We start from the raw sequence: 22,757 nt of genomic DNA, 5'->3' as shown, positions 1-22,757 counted from the left end.
AGGTTCTATTTGTAATGCTATAGAAATATTAACTTCTTGCAGTTTACATTGGCAGATCCCCAATAATTCACAATTAACACCTGGTGTTTAGTGGTTTGCAAATAGGTTTTGCTGTCATTGGGGATATCTAGAATAAAAAGCTGTAGGGAAACATTTAAAAATTAAATGTCTGGGCTGGGCGCGGTGGCTCACGCCTGTAATCCCAGCACTTTAGCAGGCTGAGGTAGGTGGCTCACTTGAGGTCAGGAGTTTGAGACCAGCCTGGCCAACATGATGAAACCCCATTTCTACTAAAAATACAAAAACAAAAACAAAAACAAACAAACAAACAAACAAAAATTAGCCGGGCATGGTGGCAGGTCCCTGTAATCCCAGCTACTCGAGAGGCTGAGGCAGGAGAATTGCTTGAAACTGGGAGGCGGAGGTTGCAGTGAGCTGAGATCATGCCACTGCACTCCAGCCTGGGGGATACAGTGAGACTCTGCCTCAAAAAAAAAAAAAAAAGTTTGATTTCATCTACTGATGTAGGAATGCAACTTAGGTTGGCTATATGTAAATACTTAAAATATCTTTAATAAAGTTTAATCCCTGTCTGTCCTATTGGTTAGAGTAAATGTTTTTATTGTTGTTAGATTTGAACATTGCATCATCTGATTGCAGGAATGATACCTTGACACCATCTAGCCGTAGTCTAAGAAGTAATACTTTTTTCTTGTCTGAGTCACAGTAGTGGTAAGATGAATGGAGGGAGGGAATCCTGCTGTTCATCTGACCTTCACGGATCTAACTGGAACTAACTGGCTTTTTGTGCACCAAAATAGGTATAAAGAAAGTTCAGCTAATCTGGGACTCAGTCACAAACCAGAGACACTGAACAGACTAGTGAGGCTTGCACAGGGTACTAGAAGATGAGTATCATCATGACTTTGCCATGATTTGACTTTGACTTTGAAAAATTTCATTGAAAATGACTTTGGAAAATTACATACAGCATAAATGTGCAAATTTACATTACCTTTTTAACAAGTTCCAGTGCTTTGCAGACAGAAAAGGGAATTGGTTCTCTATTTTGGATGTATAAATGAGTGGGATTAGTCCTAGAAAAAGTGGTCTGTACTTTAATCTACCTTTCCTTGTTCTTCTCACACCCTCTCTACATTGGGGAATTCTCCTTTGCTTTCTCCTATTTGGGGACCAGAGCCCTTAGTCTTTCTCCACATCAACATCTCTAAACTTGGTCTCACACTGCTCATTTCCACTAAGACATAAATAACTGATAGTGGCTGAAAATGTTGTGATCCCTCCAGATAATATTTCCATTTTCATAGGGGAGCTCTCTGAAGTGCATGGAAGAAAGATCTAGGGTGGAATTTTCAATATCATTCAATTTAGGACTTAGAAGGTATAGTGTGGTGAAGGGTGTTTGTGGTTGTATCTGATTCTCCAGCTACTCTGAAATAATAATGCTTAGGCGTTGCTTTCTCTAGCAGTTCCCAGAGGCTTCTTCCAACTCCTTCCTCTGTAGTTTCTAGTGCCTCAGAATAGGCTTGCAGCAAGAACAGTGTCCATGGATAAACTTGAGTATATTGGGGTTTTCTCAAAAGAGAACCGAGTACAGTTCAGGAAACTTCCCTCAAGCAGATGCAATGACTCTTCTTGATGCACATTTCATTTTCTGATTAGTTTATTTATTTTCAAAATCAGTCAAGTACTTGTACAAGTGAATAATACCAGTGTTGCCATGTATAGGCATTTAATAACCCTGGATAAGGAACAACTAAAACCAGAGGGAGAGGTTTTTTATCACAACTTTTGCTCTCATGCCTTATTCTGCTAATATTTAACTTCTGCTTATTATTTTAGATCTACTCATCTCTACCACACCCACCCAAAACATGTATCCACATGCACACACACATGCACACTCCCATTAGGACTGATGGGCTAAAAACAAGTGATTTTTTTTGCTTTGCTACTATTTTGGCATACATGTCATTAACATTTTCCCAGTTGATCAGTTCTAAGGGAGACTCAATAAGTCTGAAATCCCCGGAGATACTAGACACTCTCTCTAGTCTATTGCCTCTTGTTCACCCAGGCTTTGACAAACTAAAACAAAACTCTTGTCAATGTATTTCTGGAAAAGTTTGAATTTTATATTGTAGCATTCAGAAATATATTTGGAATGTGTTGTTGTTTAACTCTTTAGTAATATTAGCATTACTCTTTTACCAGAAATATATTAATGTCTCATTTTTAGATGCATCTGGGCTTTTTGGTCATTTTAACTTTGAATGCAAAATATTCATTGATTAAATGAATAAAGCAGTGAATCCTAGAATAGGCAGACTTGTGTAGGTTTGCATTTGCATGTATCTTTATTGACCCCCCAAAACGTGAAAAATTGATATTATATATTTTCACTCTAAAAACAGATTATAGGTTTTCAAGAACATGTACAAAAAAGATAGAAATTTGTCTTGATATGGTTCCCAGAAAATATGCAGCTTAAAAATGGAACAAATGGCTCTACCTAATGGGAAGACAGACCCTTTAAAATCCTATGCCCATTACCAATCATGTCCCATATGAAAAGGTACATTTTATTTCCATCACCACATTTGGGGAAAAAATGATGCAATCTGTTTTCTTTAAGAGACTTCTAGACATCCTGGAACAAAATGTTTTTAGAAGGGGCATTTCCATCCAGAAGGTGGGCATCTGGTTACCTTCAGATATGCATACTTACATTGTTGGCTGGCAAATTAATAGATTGTACCTGTGCATGAGAACACTTCTAATTTCAAATATACATATTTGAGACTCAATATATTTTAACACACTGACTACATTTCAAAGGTAACAGGTAAATTGTATTGAAAACAACATCTGATTGGTATCTTCACTGGGGACAATAGCATATCAGATTGACAGTTGACTGGTAAAGTGAAATGTATTTCCTTAATGTGTTTTTTGCCAAGAGTTGAGTAGTATTAGACAGGCCAGAGGTCATATTTGGGAAAGTCATCTAAAGCCAGGAAGAGCCCATAGGCCCAGGCAGGCAAATACTTGAATTCATGATGAGCTGAGAGGGGCAAGGTCAAACAGCAGAAACAGAACTGAAGCTGGGAGCAAAAGGCAGACCTGGGCAGAAAGTTTGGGCAACATGGAATTGGGATCCTAGGCAGTTGGGATGCAGCGGGTGGCAGTTGGGAGGAAGGAGAGCAGAGAAAAAGGCACTTTTGACAGTGACTCAACTAGGCACAGCTAATAAACTGTACAGATGCAACCATGTCAAAAAGGCTCCACCTCCTTATTTATGGACTGTCGAGGACATTATGTAGGTGATGGGCATTGATTGTAACCCATGCATATGAGCTTCCTGTAACTGGGCTGAAACTATTGATACATTCAGGCCAGAAGAGTGGGTCTGAGTATGCACTGTTTATTTCCTGGTGGGCGCTGCCTTCTCAGCTTGGCTCTCATTTCCCATTACTGCTTTGCTCTGACTCACTGATGGCCTGCCACATGTCATTAGGCGGCTCAACTGCTGCTCTCATTTCTCCCAAAGGTATATGGAGGTTTGTGTCTTGGCTTCTACACTTTTTTTTTTTTTTTTTTTTTCCGGAGAGCTGGAGGAAGTGGCCTTTTGATAGTTTTGTTTGTTGAGTTGAATACTTGTAGTGTCTTACGGTTTCAATTTTCCTTTCTCATAGATATTTGATCCTGATGACCTTTATTCAGGGGTCAATTTCTCCAAGGTACTGAGTACTCTTTTAGCTGTCAACAAAGCAACAGAAGGTAAGCCGGGCTTGTGATTTATATGTTCTGGGTGACATTTTTGAATCCATGTGTTTGTGATTACCCTAGGAGCCAACTCTGGCCAGGATTGTTCTCGTGATGCAAATTTTCCCCTTGCTCCCCCAAATACACCCCAACAAATGTCAAATGCTTGAATTTTTCATGGCTTAGGATTTAAAATATACCTATCATAGATGTTATTCTAATGCCCTTAATATAATGATAAGAACTAAGAAACTATTCCATTCAAAGCTCTGAATCACCAACTGAGTATAACAAAACAGAGAAGAAAAAGGAAAGACCAGTTCCCTTTTTCATAGAGTTTACAAAATACAGCCGTCACTTCCCTTTCCCCACTAGAGACATATTTTTCTCATTGTTTTATGTATGCCTTTGTCCATGTAAAGGAACCCCTCAGTAGCCTTGCACCAAAAATGAAATCTTGGGGTCATAGGGAGTGAAAATAATATCTTTTATTTAAATGTTTAACACCTACCACACTAGAGGTATTAAATATAAATGCTAGTAAATGTGAAGAAAATGATGATACACTTAGAATGTAGCTTCACTCCTTCCCTGGTATATTTTACCAACAGCTGAATAGTAATAATCATACTTAAAATGCTTTGAGCTCTTGCCCTGGATCTAGGCTGTCATAAGAGCCACAGGTGATCTCATCCAATCCTTGAAACAACACTGGGGGTAGGTATTATTATTATTAGGTCCATATTACAGATAAGGAAAGTCAGGCCAACAGTTGCCCAACTAGAAAGTTAGTCGCTGAGTTGGGATTCAGACCCACATCTGAATGACTACAGAGCCCTTATGCCCAAGCACGAGGCTTGCTGCTCAAACTGTTGTAGAGTCAAGAGGCTGTGTGCCCAGCATCGCCAGGTGCTACAAAAAATGTCAAAGCTATGGTCCCTGCCTTTGAGAAAATTACTGTCTATTTAAGGAGACTCAACTTACCCACGTGAAACAATTAGAGGACAAGAGCAGACAATATAATCAAGTGCCAAATAGGTTAGAGCATCTAGGAAGCTATCGAGTAATTATAGTTTTTGTCAAAAGAGCTGTATATAATAGCAATACAAGTAAAAATACTTCTCCAAAGTTGTTCTTTTGCTATTTGGAAAAAAAAATGCTTTTGAGCTATTGCAAGGCGTATAGCTGAAAGTACAGCTAATTCAAGTAACTATATTTAACACACATGACAACTATCCAGTTCTAGTCAGGGAGGATCGTGTAATTCTAACATTATGCCACACAAATTATACGTTCCTTTGCCAAACTCTCCTAGCAAGTTTTACAGTCTCTTCCCTTGCCACAGATATTTATAAAATACAAGGAGGTGAAAGTTAAAACCCACAGCATCAAGGAAATTACTTGGATACTGAGCTTGTCGCCTAGGGAATGTTTGGGCTTTAGACTTTTGCAGTTTATATCTTTTAAAAATAAATGGAGAGGAAAAGAACCCTTATTGAAATTTGTCAAGAAGCCAGCTCCTCTCTTTTGTATACTCTCAACAAACTGAAAACATCCAGCTCAGCTCTGGCCTGGTCGAATTTCACAAGGTTTCAAGGAAGAGAAGACTCTTGAATCTGATTGTTAAAAAAATTATTCTAGTATCAAGATTACATCTTTCCCAAACACATCTTCTCTTTCACTCTCATTCTCCACCCTGCCCCACACACATCAGGGAGATTTTACATCATATATGCCACACATATTGTTACGTGTGAGTAAGAAATGAGCCACTGAGTTATGGGCCAAAAAACAAAGAGAGAAATTTGAAATATTTCAAAGTAATAAGAGCCACAAACAGCTGTTTGGTACCCAATATAGTTCTGCCTTGGATAACAGGGCATACTGTTGCAACTGGTTCAGGAGGGAAGAGTTGTAGGGAAATGGTTAAGAGAAAATGTGGTTCTGTCGCTGTTTTTCATTCTACTGGAGCACGATGGCCAGTAAGGTTAAGAACAGGAAGTTGGCCACCAAAAAGGGAAGGGGGATTGAAATACACTTGGCATGTTCATAATGATAACAGTTAGAATTACAGCCAGGATGCCTCTGATAGTATCCTGAGAAAGATAATGTTATGCGGTAGATGTTTTTCTGATCTGAGTGGTTCCTTTAACATGCCTTTTCCTCTTTTCACAGATCAGCTATCAGAAAGACCATGTGGACGTTCCTCTTCTCTTAGTGCTGCTAATACTTCTCAGACAAACCCACAGGGAGCAGTTTCTAGCACAGTTTCAGGGCTGCAAAGGCAGTCAAAGACAGTGGTAAGTATAGTCCCCAATTCTCCGTCTGTTTTAAAATCCATAAAATTAGATTGATATCCTAGTTGCATCTCCATATGTGGTGAGACAGCCATCCGGGTTGTTTTGGGCATCACTGAGAAAACTAATTATAAACCGAGCACCAATTCAGGCTGGCCCGAAGGAGCAAATCAAAGGCATGTGGTGGGGCAAAAATCCGGATTGAAGCTCCAGCTCTGTCCCTTACGAGAATTAGGCAAGTCACTTAACTGAGAATGCTATGCAAATGGAAGTCATTATGGCTACTTTCTGATGGCAGTTTGCTGTTAATTTCCCTATCCCTTGTTTTATTAGAACTAAATAGTGCCTGACACATAGTAGGCAATCAATAAATATTGATTAGTATCCTCATTATTATTGCCATTTTTATTTTTCTCTTTCCATTCCTAATGAGGAAGGCTTGATTTTAAATTTCAGTCTATGATGAGCTTCTATATTAGGATCTCCCAGTTGCCTTTTCACTTGCTCTTATTGGGAGCTTTTATTTGGGAGGAAATGCCTCATCTTCTGCTCTTTGGGTGAAACCTTTATTTCCTGTCAAAAGCCACCCACTTGCAGTAAGACATTATGACCTATTACTTCCAAAGCACTTGAGCATGTGGTTCTTAACTTTTTTGGATCACAGATCCCTTTGAAAGGCTGATGAACACTATGTCTCTACACCCCTGGTACCCTCTCAAATTGTATACAAAAGCCCATGTGTATGAACTTATTTAGACAAAAATATGTTGTGCTCATCAGATTCTCTAAAGGGTCTGTGACCCTCAAAAAGGAAGTCCAGTTTATACATGACAGATTAAGAATTCCTGACTTAATATATCCATGTAATAAAACTGCAGTTGTACCCCCTAAATCTATAAAAATAAAAAAATGGAAAAAAGAATTCCTGACTTAGGCAACTATGGGTTATTTGATCTTTGCATATAAATAAGTCTTAGCCAAATTAAGATATCCTTAGTAATTAGGAGATGGGAGGCAGATTTTATGGAGGGTAGGTTAGTACATCTTGGTTATATAATTATGTGGACTGTTTGTGTGTTGAGTAGAGGCAGGGTGGAATAGCTTATCCAGGGTGGAATAGCTTATCACTCTACTTTGTTATCTGGCTTAGTTAAATAGATAATCTTTAGATAATGGGGAGGGGTGTGGAGAGAAAAATGAAAGCTATGACCCACTTCAAAATACAGATTCTCACAAATGCCAAAGTTTACATACTGTTTTGAGGGATTTATTAATCCCTCTGAGACCCATTCATGGATTCCTAAGTTAAAAACTCAGGACTGAGATGGATCTGGGGTTTTGTCTTTGCTTCCTCCACTTTATTTGCCTATATCCATATCATTTCTACCCCTGCCTTATTTAGATGAGTGCTTAATCTGGTGTGGCTTTTGTTTCTCTAGGAGATGACGGAAAATGGAAGTCATCAGTTGATAGTAAAAGCAAGATTCAACTTTAAGCAGACTAATGAGGATGAACTGTCAGTTTGTAAGGGGGACATCATTTACGTCACACGAGTTGAAGAAGGAGGCTGGTGGGAAGGCACATTAAATGGGAGAACAGGCTGGTTCCCCAGTAATTATGTCCGTGAAATTAAATCCAGTGGTAAGTGAAGTTTTTAAAAGGCTTTTTGATTGTGACTCTTGTACTTTCTTGGTATTCTTACTGAAAATTGTGTAGTTTTAATTGGTTAACAGAAGCTGTTTATACTTGTATGTGTATGCCAAAAATAAGAGTAGAACAGAACTGGGAAAAATCTGTGATTAGATATTTTGAAACAAATTGTATTTAGATTACATTAAGGCAGCAGAAAAATAAAAAAAGCAAAGGAATTCAAAGCTCAGACAACTGGTCCACCCTAACTGTATCCCTTTATGTCTACTAATTCTAGCCCATGTAATATAGTACATAGTCCTTCTCACCACTCTAAAACTTACCATGGCAGAATCCAATAATAAGAGAGGCCATGTGCTAACTTCCTTTTTTTAGCCTTAAGCCCTGTAAGCAGACCTGAGACTAAATGCCTCAGACATGAGAGATAATAATGATAGGGCTGCAGGAAGCTGTCTGGCCGCTTTGATGCTGAACAAGATTGCCCTTAACTCACTGAATACTGCTAGCTGTTTACCTTTTTTTTGTAACAATAGCCAGAGAATGAAATCGAATTGCTCTTCAGTAGTCTTTTCTTCTCTCTCTCTCTTTTTTTAATTATTATTTTTAGACAGGGTCTCACTCTGTTGCCCAGGCAGAGTGCAGTGGCTATCACAACTCACTGCAGCCTGGACCTCCCGGGCTCAAGTGATCTTCTTGCCTCAGCCTCCCAAGTATTTGGGACTACAGGTGCACGCCTTCCACACCCAGCTAATGTTTAAACTTTTTGTAGAGACGGATCTGCCTGTGTTGCCCAGGCTGGTCTTGAACTCCTGGGCTCAAGTGATCTTCCTGTGTCGGCCTCCCACGGTGCTGGGATTACAGGCATAAGCCACTGTGCCTGGCCACTCTTCAGTAGTTTTCCTTAGAGTTTTTTTGATAATTCACTTGCCCTTTATTGTTTAAGAAGGTAGGCTCTTCTGATATTGCAAAAAACCCAGCAAACCCTTATACATAAGAATATGTCCCTCACAATACACATAAAACAGCATTTAGTTATTCACATTATTACATCTCTTTACTTTTCAAAAATATTTACACAAGGGCTCTTTTGAGTGGTTAGCTCAGCGCATTATTTCTTTTGTAAATATCTTATTGCTTTTTCAATGCCTCAAAATTGATACTATTAATTAATTAATAAAATTTTAGGCTCACTGTAAGTAAAATGAAACATTCTGGAAATATACGGTTGACTCTATTTTTTTTTGTTGTTGTTGTTTTGAGACGGAGTCTTGCTCTGTCACCCAGGCTGGAGTGCAGTGGCGCAATCTCGGCTTGCTGCACACTCCGCCTCCCGGGTTCACGCCATTCTCCTGCCTCAGCCTCCCCAGCAGCTGGGACTACAGGCGCCTGCCACCACGCCTGGCTAAATTTTGTATTTTTAGTAGAGATGGGGTTTCACCGTGTTAGCCAGGATGGTCTTGATCTCCTGACCTTGTGATCCGCCCGCCTCAGCCTCCCAAAGTGCTGGGATTACAGGCGTGAGCCACTGCGCCTGGCTACAGTTGACTCTTGAACAACATGGGGATTAAGGGCACCGAGCCCCCATGCAGTTGAAAATCCGTATATAACTCTGAGCTCTTGAGAGCTGAAAATTTCTGATTCATTTTGATATTCTTGAAGGCTGGCACCTGAGTGGCATCTCATTAAGGGCTCAATTCATTCAATATGGAGCAGGTACTGGATGAGACACTAAGAATATCAAGAAGCATTCCATCAATTTCATCAAGAGGGAAATATGTGAATATTTGGAGGCAGCTGTCTTTCTCCAGAGTAACTTGGTAGGATTTCCCACACTTTCCTTGCCTTCTCTAGAATGATTTCAATACATAAATTTCCTTCTTCAAACATGTGGAACTTGAAGACCCTTAAAGGCAGTAGGATCATTAGGGCTTATTAGTTACTTCTAGATTCTAGTGTTCAGAGCATTGCTTTATTTTCATCACTGCCCTAAAGTTACGACTTTAAGACTGAGAATAAATAAAACACACACACACACACAAAAAAAAAAAAAGAAAAGAAAATCCATGTATAACTTTTGACTCCTCCAAAACTTAACTTCTAATAGCCTACTGTTGGTTGGAAGCCTTACTGATTGTATGTTATATGTATTGTATACTGTGTTCTTATAATAAAGTAAGCTAGGGAAAAGAAAATGTTATTAAGAAAATCATAAAGAAGAGAAAATACATTTACTCTTAGTTAAGTGGAAGTAGATCATCATAAAGGTCTTCATTTTCATTGTCTTCACGTATAAATGGGATGGGCCTGCAAAGTTCAAACCCATGTTGTTCAAGGGTCAGCTGTATAATGTAGATAATGAAAGTTCCTCTTCTCTTTGCACTCTCCCCCCGACAACCAGAGTTAGGAGCTTTTTCCTAAAGTGTTTAAGATAAAATTAATTTTCACACTTTTCTGTGTTCTATGTTGTGTTAAAAGGGGTATCCCCTTTAATGGAATATGTTTACTAACAGATTTATAATTATATACGTATATGGAGACTTCTTAGCATTTTTAATTACTGGGAATCAAGAAGGTTCTATTGAGCCCTGGAGTATTTCCACAGGCTTTGCCTGGAATTTCCTTGGTTTTGATGATATTCACAGACGATTTTTACCTCTCACTACATCTTTCAATCGATATAATTTTGTTGATATAATTTAGGAAAATCCCTAAAAGATTTTCCAGGTTCACTCTAACATTGTTCCCTGATACAGTGTCTTTATCTGCAAAACTAAAAGGAGCAGTAATTTTGTCCAGGAATCCCAAGCACTGCGAGGGGACCTGGGAAGTGAACAGCACACCCTCACTTTGACGACTCTCCTTATAATGTCCCTCACTGTGACTCCTTGTAGCAGTCTGGCCACTCCCTTATAGACTGCCCCAGGTTATTTGTTCTGGTCTTAGGGGCCTTCATTTTAAAATTTCTCCTATATTCTCTCTGGTTTAGGACTCAGCTTAGGATTCATGTGGCAAGCTCCGACTCTGACTTGAGCACTTAGGTAACCCTTAGAAGCATCTAACCCAACTGTCAAGGACAGGTCTGAGTTGCTTGGGTCAGGAAATGAGTGCTAGTCAGGGAAGGCCTGGAACTAGCAGTGTATGGAACAACCTCTCTCATTTAGCTTATGGCAGCAGCTTCCTAATTGGCATCTCTGCCCCTGTTTTTGTCACTCCTATAATCCAGTCTAAACTCAGTACCCAGAGTGATTCTTTCAAAATGTAACTTGGGGCCGGGCACGGTGGCTCATGTCTGTAATCCCAACACTTTGGGAGGCTGAGGCGGGCGGATCACTTGAGGTTAGGAATTCGCGATCAGCCTGGGCAACATGGAGAAACACCATCTCTACTAAAAATACAAAAATTAGCTGGGCATGGTGGCGCATGCCTATAGTCCTAGCTACTTGGGAGGCTAAGGCAGGAGAATAGTTTGAATCGAGGAGGCGGAGGTTGCAGTGAGCTGAGATCGTGCCACTGCACTCCAGCCTGGGTGACAGAGTGAGACTCTGTCTAAAAATAATAATAATAATAATAATGTAACTTGGGTCATGGCTCCCCATCTCAATAAAAGAAAAGGCCAAGGCCATCACAATAGCCTCCAAGGTCCTCCAGGATCTGGCCTTCCGTTGCCCTTTTGGCTTCCTCTCTGATCTCTCTTCCCCTCACTCATTCCACTTTAGCCACACTGGTCTCTTGGCTGCCTGTGCCAGACAGGCTCCTGCCTCACTTGCTGTCCCCCTGTCTGGAACATTCTCCAGCTATCAGCACAGCTGGCTCCCTCATCTCCTTCAGGTCCACTCACTTGCCTACTTCACAGGAGGGCCTTTCCTGGTCACCCAGGAGAAAATTTAACCCTATCCCCACTCCCTCTATCCCTCTTCCCTGCTTAAATTTTTTGCTTATTATTTTTCCCCGTCTAACATAATACACGTTTACTTATTTATTTCATTTACTGTTTACATTTTACCATTAGAATTGTAAATACCACAAGGGCAGAGACTTCATTCGTTTTGTTTATGCTCAGTAAATATTTGTAAAATGAATGAATATTACAGCGTAGGTAATTCAATTCTGTTCAGCTTGTTCACTGAGTACCTCCTAGGCGCAATCTATACCTCATAGACCCCGTCCCCTAGCACCTTTACAGTCTAGTAATCAACACAGGTCTGTGCAGAACTAACTGTTACAGGCCAGGACACAGTAAGTAGCACAGACAAAGGACTGAGTAAGATGCTGTAGGAACAGTGAAGAAACAATTTGATTAACAATAACATAAGGAGTGGGGAAGCACTTGAATTGGGTCTTGAAGGATAGAAGAAGCTTCTGACTGGGAGAAGAAGATCAGAGGGAACTTTTAAGTTCAAGCATGGAAGTAAGAGTGGATGGTGGGGTGATTTGGGTTGAGAATCAGATGCATGATGATAAGGAATGGGACCTTGAGCTGGAGCTACATTAAGAGGCGGTGTCAATGTCAAGTTTTAAGCAAGGGATAACATGGTCTAGGAAGATCTTTCTGGAGGTAGCGTGGGGGATGGATTTCAGGGAAGTGGTAGGAATAACCAGCAAGGGTGTAGAGAAACTAGCAGAGGCTACTGCTAAGGTCCAGGCAATCCAGATAGTGGTGTGGATTACTCTGGGGATAGTGGGGAGGAAGAGAAGTGGATGGATGCAGTATATACTATTGAAATGAAATTTTAAAAACTTGCTGATGATTAGTTTTGAGGATAAGGGAACAGATGAGAACAATACCAAGTCTAGAGGTCCAGCTTGATGGTGAACGCCTTAATGGCATGCAGTGTCATGCTTCTAGCCAGCCCACAAAGGTTGATCTCTCTTAATGAGGGTGTCAGTCTCTGTCTTGGACACTGGTGTGGTGGAGAAGCATAAGACATGGCTTTTGCCTTCAGGGTGTTCATACTGTAGTGTAAGAAGACATCATTAGAATACAATATGATAAGTTTAGTGATAGAGCTAAATACAGTATGCTATGGAGAGGTGGGAGGAGAAGAGAGGAGCATAACTCATCTTGACAGGGAAGTCAAGGGGACTTGTTCATCTTTGTATACTGTCTTGTCTTCATATGCCTAACATGGTGCTTTAGACATTGGAAATATTTGAAGTGTGCTGAACTCCGTTAATAGAGAAGACAGGAGGAGGCAGAGGTTGTGTGTGCATGTCTCTGTGTGTGTCTGTGTTGGGCGGGTGATTGGTACTGAAGATGATGAACTGTTTTGTACTTGAGTAGAGGTGCACCGAGTCATAGGTCTGAAGATTTCTAGCAAGTAGTTGGCAGTATGGTTATGGAGCACAGGAGAGAGATAAGAGCTGGTGGTGAGTCAACTGACAGTATAGGTCAGTGGACGATGAAGTATAAAATATATAGCAGAGCATCAGTATTCAGACACAGAGAGTGCATTGTGCCTGAAGAGGTTAGGGGAGGCTTCATGGAGGACATAGGGCTTAAGCTGAACACTGAAAGACAGGTAAGCTGTGAATAGGCCCAGAAGAGAGGCAAGGACAATCTAAATCACAGTGATTGTTCAGGGAAAACAAAACCCACCACGATTCTGTGGTAGGACTGAACAGAGTGAGCTTGATGGACAATGGAAGAGACTAGCTTCAGGTAACAAAAATGTCTTGCTGGGAAATTAGGTGCTCAATAAATCTGTGTTGACTTGAATTCTTTCCTACCCCAACTCTTGCCACCACCACAAAATAGTAGGTAAGCCAAAACCTATCTAGGATGCTGCCGAGGAATATTTTAAATTAAATGCTATGTTGTGTTATGTTTGGTCTAGAAAATACTTGTAAATTTTTAATTAATTAATCTCTCTCTGTCTTTTTTTTTTTTTAACACGGGATCTCACTATGTTGCCCAGGCTGGTCTCAAACTCCTGGGCTCCAGCGATCCTCCTGCCCTGGCCTTCCAAAGTGCTGGGATTACAGAGGTGAGCCACCGTGCCCGGGCTTTATTTCTTTGAATGAACTCCATACTAATGTATAAGCTTAGGAAAATTTGTCTTTAAGGAGTTTGAAAAAAGTGATGTAGTGAAACCCTTTTTTTTTTTTTTTGAGATGGAGTTTCGCTCTTGTTGCCCGGGCTGGAGTGCAATGGCGCGATCTCAGCTCACCACAACCTCTGCCTCCCAGGTTCAAGTGAGTCTCTTGCCTCAGTCTCCCGAGTAGTTGGGATTACAGGCATGCGCCACCACGCCTGGCTAATTTTGTATTTTTAGTAAAGAATGTTGATCAGGCTGGTCTCAAACTCCCGACCTCAGGTGATCCACCCGCCTCGGCCTCCAAAAGTGCTGGGATTACAGGCGTGAGCCATTGTGCCCAGCCAACGTAGAGTTTTAAACCCCATTGCCATACAACCTTTTAGGCCATTTATAAAGTTCAATCAGGCATGGAACTAAAAATCTTTAGTGATCTCAGTCTGCTTACTATTGGGTCAAACATATAACACTGTGGCCACTCGAAGAGTCAGTAATTCTGACACATTCATACATGCAGCCTGGAGGGTGGAGGGACATTTAGCCTGATACTACACATTCTTTTGTAATGTCTTACAAGCAGAACAAAACAAGCCCAAAGCCATACAACCCTCACCCTGCAGATTGCTGTGCCATGGGAGTGCTGTGCGTAGTTTTCCTCCCTTGAGCCTGTCATTGACAAGAGCACTTTGTGCTCTGGTAAATTTGCCCTTGGGGAGTGGCGTTTTAAGTTTTGGATTCCACTGTAGCTCTCATCTAGAGATAATTACGGCCAAAGCTCTGGGGATAGCTTTTTCCCGCTCTTTGAGAGGAGGCCGATTTCAGAGGTCGTATAGCATAAAGAATCACCCACCTAATACTATAGAAAGTTAAGAAATAGAAGACGTGAGTGTGAAACACACACACACACACACACACACACACACACCTCTTTTTAACATGAGCTTGTGGCTGAAAGTAGAATAAGTTTTTGTGACCATGATGATAAAAACCTCTTTCCAAGGATGATTGAACCTGGACATTGATGACATCATGAAGCCATTGTCACCAATTCTGCTTGCCTACCTCTGGATTTCCTATTACATGAGAAAAACCCTATTTTGACCAAAAATATGTTTTTTAAGGATCTTATTTCATGAAAAATACATGTATTAATAACTTAGTCATTATATAAGTTACATAACATATATTAAGGGACTTTGCTCTTGTATTTCATTTGAGTCACATACATTATAAATGAGAAAATTAGCCACTTATACAATTTTCCGTTCTCTTTGAAAAATCAGTGGTAACTTGTAAATTAACTTGTTATTTATACATCAAAGTAATTTCTGCTAGCACAGTGGCAACATAATGGTAATTATATCCTTTTTAAATTTTTGTCTCTGTTTTGTTACCTAGAAAGGTTGAGGGTTTTGTTGGGACTTTGCATTAAAAATTTCCTGGCAAAATTTTTAAGCCAAGAAATTATTGATGCAAGTGTGATTGAGCAGATATTTTAAACAAATTCTATTTTCTCCCACTGATTCAATTAAGAGGGCATCAAATCCTTCTTCTAAAACTTCTTATTAGCAGTAAATATAGATATCAATTGAGGGGATTAGGTACATGGTTAATTAAATTTGTATTAAGGCATATTAAGAAATCACTCTTCCTGCTCATTATAACCAAAGCTAGGATTGAGCTTTATATTTAGACTTCCTGTTTTAATCCCCTGGGTGTATCACATAGATGTTTCCTGTCCAGAGAGACTATTTGTCACTAGATTTCTTTTTGTCTTATCACCACCAACAGGCAATAGTAATCTGTACACCAGCAAAGGAAGAGAAAGAATCAAAAGTTAATTGGAAAGGAGTCTTTACATCAGGATCAGGAGGATTTCTTATGCCTGTATTTGTGTGACACTCTTGTTTGAGTTATATTATACGAACAATCCATTGGAATTCTTCACTATATTGACTGATTTCCCCCCGCACTGGTTGGATTGCCCAGTCTCCTCATTGCCTTAGAACACCACCTAAAATGTTTACATTTTCATGTTCGTTCTAGTTAGGGCACTTTGAATCCCCCCCACCACCCAGGGACTGAACTTGTCTCCTCGGAACCTCCACATATTCATTCCTTCTCTGCATGTTGCTGAGTGTGGGTTTCAAAGAATCCTTCACATGGCGGGAGTAAGAAGTGGTAGGGGTCGGGGTGGGGAGCAAAGGAGGGACAAGAGGCCAGAAATTGTCACTGAGGTCATAGTGCTGGTGTTTTTCTCTTTGCATTCCCTCTTGTACTGTTTCATGGAGCCAGTCATTTGCAAGGGCTACATTTTTTTAGACTTTCCAAGTTTATCCTTCCAAATCTGTCTCCCTTCTGTTCTTTGTGTTAATTCCCCATCCTAGACCAAGACTGCAGAGAGAACTAGAACTTCAGTGCTATGCTGAATTAATAGTGGTGAGAGCATGCATCCTTGCCTTGTTCCTGATCTTAGGGGGAAAGCATTTAGCATTCAGTCTTTCCCCATTATGTAAGATGCTAACTGTAGGTTTTTTGTAGATGCACTTTATTAAGTTGAAGAAATTCTTCTTTATTCTTATTTTTTTCCATGAGTTATTTTTTTTCGAATAGGTGTTTAATTTTGTTAAGTGCTTTTTCTGCATCGGTTAATATTATCATGTGACTTTTTTCTTTTAAGAGTGTTAAGATCATGGGTTACATTAATGGATTTTAAAATATTTAACCAACCTAGGATGAATCCCATAGTATACAATTCTTTTAAAATATTGCTGAATTTTACTTGCTAATATTTTGTAAATTTTTTTGCATCTATATTCATGAGGGATATTGGTCTGCAGTTTTCTTTTTTGCACTGCCTTTGTATGGTTTTGGTGTCAGTGTAATAGTGGTTTCATAAAATGACTTGGGAAGTGATGTTTTTTATTTTCTATGTGACATTATATGGAATTAGTATTGATTCTTCCTTAAACAGTTAATAGAATTCTCCAGTGACACCTTATGGGCCTGGAGATTTCCTTTTTCAGAGTTTTAAATTTATAAGTTCAATTTCCTTAATAGTTATAAGGCCATTCAAATGATCTATTTCATATTGGGTGAGTTGTGGTAGTTTTTGTTTTCTGAGGAATTGGTTCATTTCACACATAAGTGTCAAATTTATGTGTGTAGAGTTGTTTGTAGTATTCCATTATTATCCTTTTTATATCTCCAGGGTCTGGAGTGATGTCCCCTGTTTCATTTCTGATAGTGGTCACATTTTCCCAGGAAAGCCTTATGAACCACCAGTGGATCCAGGCGGATCCTGAACTAGCATAAAGCTTCCAGGAACTGGCTATGCTCCACTTGTCCTCTCTGGAGAGTGACAGAATTGTCCCTCATTGCTACTTTTCTGCCTTATTTTCACTCTACCCAACCTGGCCCCACTGGATAACTCACTGTCGCAAGAACAGTTCTGCCTTGAGCATTGCCATTTCTACATCTGTGTTTCTGAAATCTTCCCTGAAAAGAAAACTCTGTACTGCCTTCCCTGCCTGTTTGAATTCCATCTGCCCTTCAGGGCCAGATCGAGTACCTCCTTCCCAGCAAGGTCTTCTCTAACCATCCCAGATCAAACTCACAGCCCCTCTGAACTCCAGCAGGAACCCCTGCCCATGCCATTGACCAAGACCTTCAGTAGCTTTATCTCTGGGTATCATATTGGTTAGGAACACAGGCTCTTGTCAGGACATACCTGGGCTTCAATCTTGGCTCTGCCATTTCCTAGCTGCATGACCTGAGATAACTGACTTCACTTCCTTGAATCTTAGTGGCCTCCTCCGTAAAATGAGAAGATAGTCTGCCTGTCAGCGTTGTTGTAAATATCAAATAATATGTCTTAAAAGCTATTAAGTATGAAATAAATATTAGGGATATTCCAATACAATAATAATTAAAAATCAAGGTTAAATGGGAAAATATTTATAAAATAATATTGTAATAGAAGAATTATAAAACTGCAGGTAAGGTTAGAAAGATCCAAGAGTGTGTGCATATGTGTGTTCACAAACATACATAAAAGAATGGGAAGACACACTTCAAAAACAGTCTAAATGATGATGGTTAGCTCTAGGTGATTGGCTAATTGCTGGGTTTTATTTTCTATTCTATATTTTAAATTTTTGGGGGTGGGACTGCAATAGATTTATAACTTGAAAATATTATTAAAAAAATCAAGGTCTGATGATATAGTATTATTTGGTTATTTATACTGCGCTATACTTTAGAAAGGGTTTAAAACAGCATAAAATATAGCAAGTTAAAATTAAAATATAAACCAAAGTGAAGCAGAGGAGAAAATGCAGTAGGAAAGATGCTATGTTGTGACACTGCTAAAAATTTGTTATGACTGTCTCATATTTTTATTGTTTTTTTTTTAAAAAAAAAGAAAGAATGTCCTAGGATTTCCTTTAGTCATGAGTTTAATAAGTAAAATTAATTTAGGTAAAAGAAGGGCAGTATTTTACAACGCAGTGGAATAATATTAAAATTATACTTAAAAGAGAATAATTTCCTGCTAGTTTTCATTGAGTTAAACCTTCTGATCATTTTGTTGTTGGCATAGTAGACAGACCCAAGAAAAGTATGCTTGCCATTACTTATATTTTATTATACTTGTATAGTAAATTGCACATTATAAGTACAGATGCTTCTTGGCTTACAATGGGGTTACATACTGATAAACCCATCATAAGTTGAAAGTATCATAAATCAAGAATACATTAATACACCTAACCTACTGAACATCATAGCTTAGCCTAGCCTACCTTAAATGTGCTCAGAAAACTTACAGTAGCCTACAGTTGGGCAAAATTATCTAACACAAAGCCTATTTTATAATAAAGTATTTATTAGGTCATGTACACAGTAGTTTGCCAAGGCAGGAAAATATCAAAATAAAGTATGATTTCTACTGAATGTGTATCGCTATTGCACCATTGTTAAGTTGAAAAATCGTAAGTTGAACCATCATAAGTTGGTGACTATCTGTATACATTTGGCTAGTATTGGTTTTGCGTATCTGTTTTGAATAAGTTGAATGGAGAGGGCAGACAAACCCCAACTGGGAGTAAAGTTCTTGCCCTGGCCCTGCTATTTCTTAGTTAGGTCTTAACTCCTTGGCTTATTCCTTCTTTGGAAATTGAGGGGTCTAGACAAGAAGATCTAACTTTGACCATCTATAGTTTAGCACAGTTGTAGTTTCATTTGTTTAGGAATGTACATTTCCATTGATCCTTCCACTGGGAATCTTTATAGTATGTTAGTTGACCCATGTTATAAAATGTTCATCATAGCCTTCTGTGATATTAACATAATTTAAATGTTTTTTTCACAGAGAGACCTCTCTCCCCAAAAGCCGTCAAAGGATTTGAAACTGCTCCACTTACCAAGAATTATTATACTGTGGTAAGTGTTCAGATGATGAATAAAAATTTTCTTGACTCTATATGGAACTTTTTCACTTGTCAAACCATTGATGTGTTGAGGTGACACAAAGGAAAGACTGAATAAAGTTGCATGCATGAGTCTAATGCCATTCGCATTACAGTGGAGCTCTTTTACTTATATGCTTCTTGCAGATGTCTAGAAGTCTTACATCTACTGTGCTGAAAAATTCAAAGGTAGCACGGATTCACAGCAAGCCCTATTAAACAGCATGAAATAGAAATTGGCTAGTATGTAAGAATTATGGTGAAATTCAGCAGTTAGACATACCCTTACCAGATATTTAGAAGGTGAATTTCCAAGTTCCTGTAATGCAATAAATTTTAAGTGGTTGCATTTTGTAATTTTACTTTAGAATCAATGACTTCATTATTATATCGTCTGGAATATTATCATCCTTTAAAGAGAGCCCAAAAGGAAAACTGCCCTTTGGCACAGTGGGAGGAATGACATGGCTCTGGCTTAAACACAGATATGTCAAAATATGTTAGCTATAAATAGGGTATGTGCAATACTCAAAATAAATTCCTGTTTGAAAAAGAAATCGCATCATTCTCCTTCATCTACTCTCTGCTTTCTCTTCATGTCTCCTTTCCAGACTTGGCCTAGTCACTAATTTAAAGGTCAAGTCATGATTAACCTCTAAGTTTCCCTGTCTGGTAGCCTTGTCATTCCCCCGGCCCTGCCTCACCACCTCAGCTGAAATACAGTTTCACTTTTTACCCAGTGTTCTATGTGCGTTTGTCTTGCGTACTCATCTCCCTTTGTGCATGGATAGAGTTTTTAAACATCTCTATACAGGTATGTGAATATCATTTGGTTTCAAAAAGTTGAATTTCACTCTTCAGTGAATTTGCTCTATAATGATGACATGAGCAATAGAGAATATGAAAAATCAAGAAGGAACTCTCTAGGTAACATGGACAATAAATAATCACAGTCGACTATTTTGTTAATATCTTTTATCTTACATTTCCAAGGCTAAAATATATTACCCAGCAGAGGTAGGTTCCCTTCTCCCTTACTTCCTGACCAATTCTTTTAGCTTTTAGATAACCCCTAATGATTTAATTTTTAAAGAAAGGTTGTAGTGGAATGGTGGATGAAAATATTACCATAGCTGCTTCTCTCTGTGGGTCTGGAGCATATCATCACTCTGCTTTGGATCTCTCTCTGCCTCTGCTGATTCTACCAACTTAAAGTGTGGTTGGGATTATCCAAGGCAGAGTATACTCTGTGATTCTCATGGAATTTATATCAATCCTATATATATAATGGTCGAACTCTGGACATGCTGCAGTTTATATAACCCACCTCCTGTTGGAAGACGTGTGTTGTTTCTAGTTCCTTGCTGTAATAGACAATTCTGCATTGAATAGCTTATATATATCACTTTGCCAAAGTATATAAAGATCTGTATGGTGAAAGTTAAGTGCTTAGGTCAAAGGACATATATGTTTAACAGTTTTTTTTTGGTAGATATCATCCCAAACCTCAGACCTAATAAAGAAAACAAATGTCTTGCGGAACTCATGATAGCCTGTGAAGAACCTGTAGAACTTCGATGTGAATATTGCTTAATTATTGGCCAGCTGGATATATTGTAACTAGATATGGATGTGAAGAGATTTTGGTTGGTTGGTTTTTTTAAATCCACATTTCTCTGGCTTTGAATAGTTAGGCAAATTTTTAGTGTCAATTAATTCAAAATATGTTTTGAGTGTTCTGATTGTCCTCCTAATCTGTGTTGAATAAAAAAAATCTATTTCATCCACAGGATTTGTAGACTTGTAAAATCAATTTCACTCACATGAAAAGTGCCCTCATCTGATGGTATATTAAATCTTCTTCCCTCCAAGAGTCATTAATTGTAGATATTTTGTGTTGCTAGATCTATAAGAATACTAATGACTGATTTTTACTTCATTAAAAAAATGAAATAACATTTTTCTTTTATATAACTAGTTATATAAATGTTTTTAAAATATCAGACAATACAGAAATAATGTAAAAAAGAAAATAAACACCACATGTAATCCCACCACTTAGAAATAATCACTATTAACATGTTAGTGAATTTCATGCCAAATTTTCTTTAAGGTAGGTGTAAGTGTATATATATATATGCATATATATGTATATATAGCCTGTAATATCTATGTGTGTATATAAATTTTTAAATAAAACAGGAAATTATGTATTCTTTCTTTTTCATAAAGATTTTTTTTTTTTTGACATGGAGTCTCACTCTGTCGCCCTGGCTGGAGTGCAGTGGCACGATCTCAGCTCACTGCAACCTCCGCCTCCCGGGTTCAAGAAATTCTTCTGCCTCAGCCTCCCGAGTAGCTGGGACTACAGGCGAGCGCCACCACGCCCAGCTAATTTTTGTATTTTTAGTAGAGGCAGGGTTTCACTATATTGGCCAGGCTGGTCTCGAACTCCTGAGTTCGTTATCTGCCCGCCTTGGCCTCCGAAAGTGCTGGGATTACAGGTGTGAGCCACTGTGCCTGGCCCATAAAGATTTTCTATCCCTATACCCCAATAATACTTGTCTCTGACCAGACCTGTTCTTTTTTTTTTTTTTTTTTTTTTTTTGAGATGGAGTCTCACTCTGTTGCCCAGGCTGGAGTGCAGTGGCATGATCTTGGCTCACTGCAACCTCTGCCTCCCAGGTTCAAGCGATTCTCCTGCCTCATCTTCCCGAGTAGCTGGGATTACAGGCATGCACCACAATTCCCGGCTAATTTTTGTATTTTTAGTAGAGACGGGGTTTCACCATGTTGGCCAGGCTGGTCTCGAACTCCTGACCTCAGGTGGTTCTCCCGCTTTGGCTTCCCAAAGCGCTGGGATTACAGGTGTGAGACACTGCTCCCAGCCAGACCTGTTCTTATGCTCTTCCATTTAATGAGTCTTTGCCAGCCCAGGGCTCCCTTTATTTTGGTCCTGTGTATTAGTCAGGTTTCCCAGAGAAACAGAACCAATGTGGGGGGTGGGGGGCGGTGGGGGAGGAGAGAGAGAGAGAGAGAGAGAGAGAGAGAGAGAGAGAGAGAGAGAGAGAGAGAATGAATAAGGAATTGGCACATGTGACTATGGAGGCTGAGAAATTCCACACTCTACTGTCTCAAAGCTGGAGACCCAGGAAAGCTGGTGGTGTAATTCCGTACAAGTCCAAAGGCCTGGGAACCAGAGAGCTGATAGTGTAAGTTTCACTCTGAGGTCAGGAGAAGATCAATTTTCTAGCTCAAATACGCAGACAGAGAAAGCAAATTCTCCCTTCTTCTACCTTTTTGTTCTATTCAGGTCCTTAGCAGATTGGATGAAGCCCACTCACAATAGGCAGGCAATATGCTCTACTCCACCTACTAATTTAAATGCTAATCTCATCTGGAAAACCCTTACAGACACATGCAGAAATAATGTTTAGCTAAATATCTGGGCACCCTGTCTATCCTGCCCAAGCTTACAGGATGTGATGATTAATTTTATGTGCCAACTTGGGTCGACACATAAA

General features: G+C 39.3%; 1 protein-coding gene across 12 annotated transcripts in view; it reads left to right on the top strand.

The window, feature by feature from the left end:
• Window positions 1-22,757, top strand: part of ARHGEF6 (Rac/Cdc42 guanine nucleotide exchange factor 6) — a 115,383-nt gene that overhangs the window by 29,624 nt on the left and 63,002 nt on the right. For 9 of the 12 annotated variants that reach the window (NM_001440993.1, NM_001440996.1, NM_004840.3 and 6 more), the window contains 4 exons: window positions 3,717-3,801; window positions 5,962-6,086; window positions 7,523-7,724; window positions 19,137-19,207. In NM_001440993.1, the coding sequence (NP_001427922.1) occupies window positions 3,717-3,801; window positions 5,962-6,086; window positions 7,523-7,724; window positions 19,137-19,207 (483 nt within the window). Of the gene's footprint in view, window positions 1-3,716; window positions 3,802-5,961; window positions 6,087-7,522; window positions 7,725-13,844; window positions 13,926-19,136; window positions 19,208-22,757 lie in introns of all 12 variants that reach the window. The other 3 variants (NM_001440994.1, XM_017029975.3, XM_011531415.3) reach the window with 1 other exon arrangement.

Source organism: Homo sapiens, chromosome X, assembly GCF_000001405.40.
Source record: "Homo sapiens chromosome X, GRCh38.p14 Primary Assembly".
NCBI lineage: Eukaryota > Metazoa > Chordata > Mammalia > Primates > Hominidae > Homo > Homo sapiens.
This window is presented reverse-complemented; position numbering and strand designations above follow the sequence as displayed.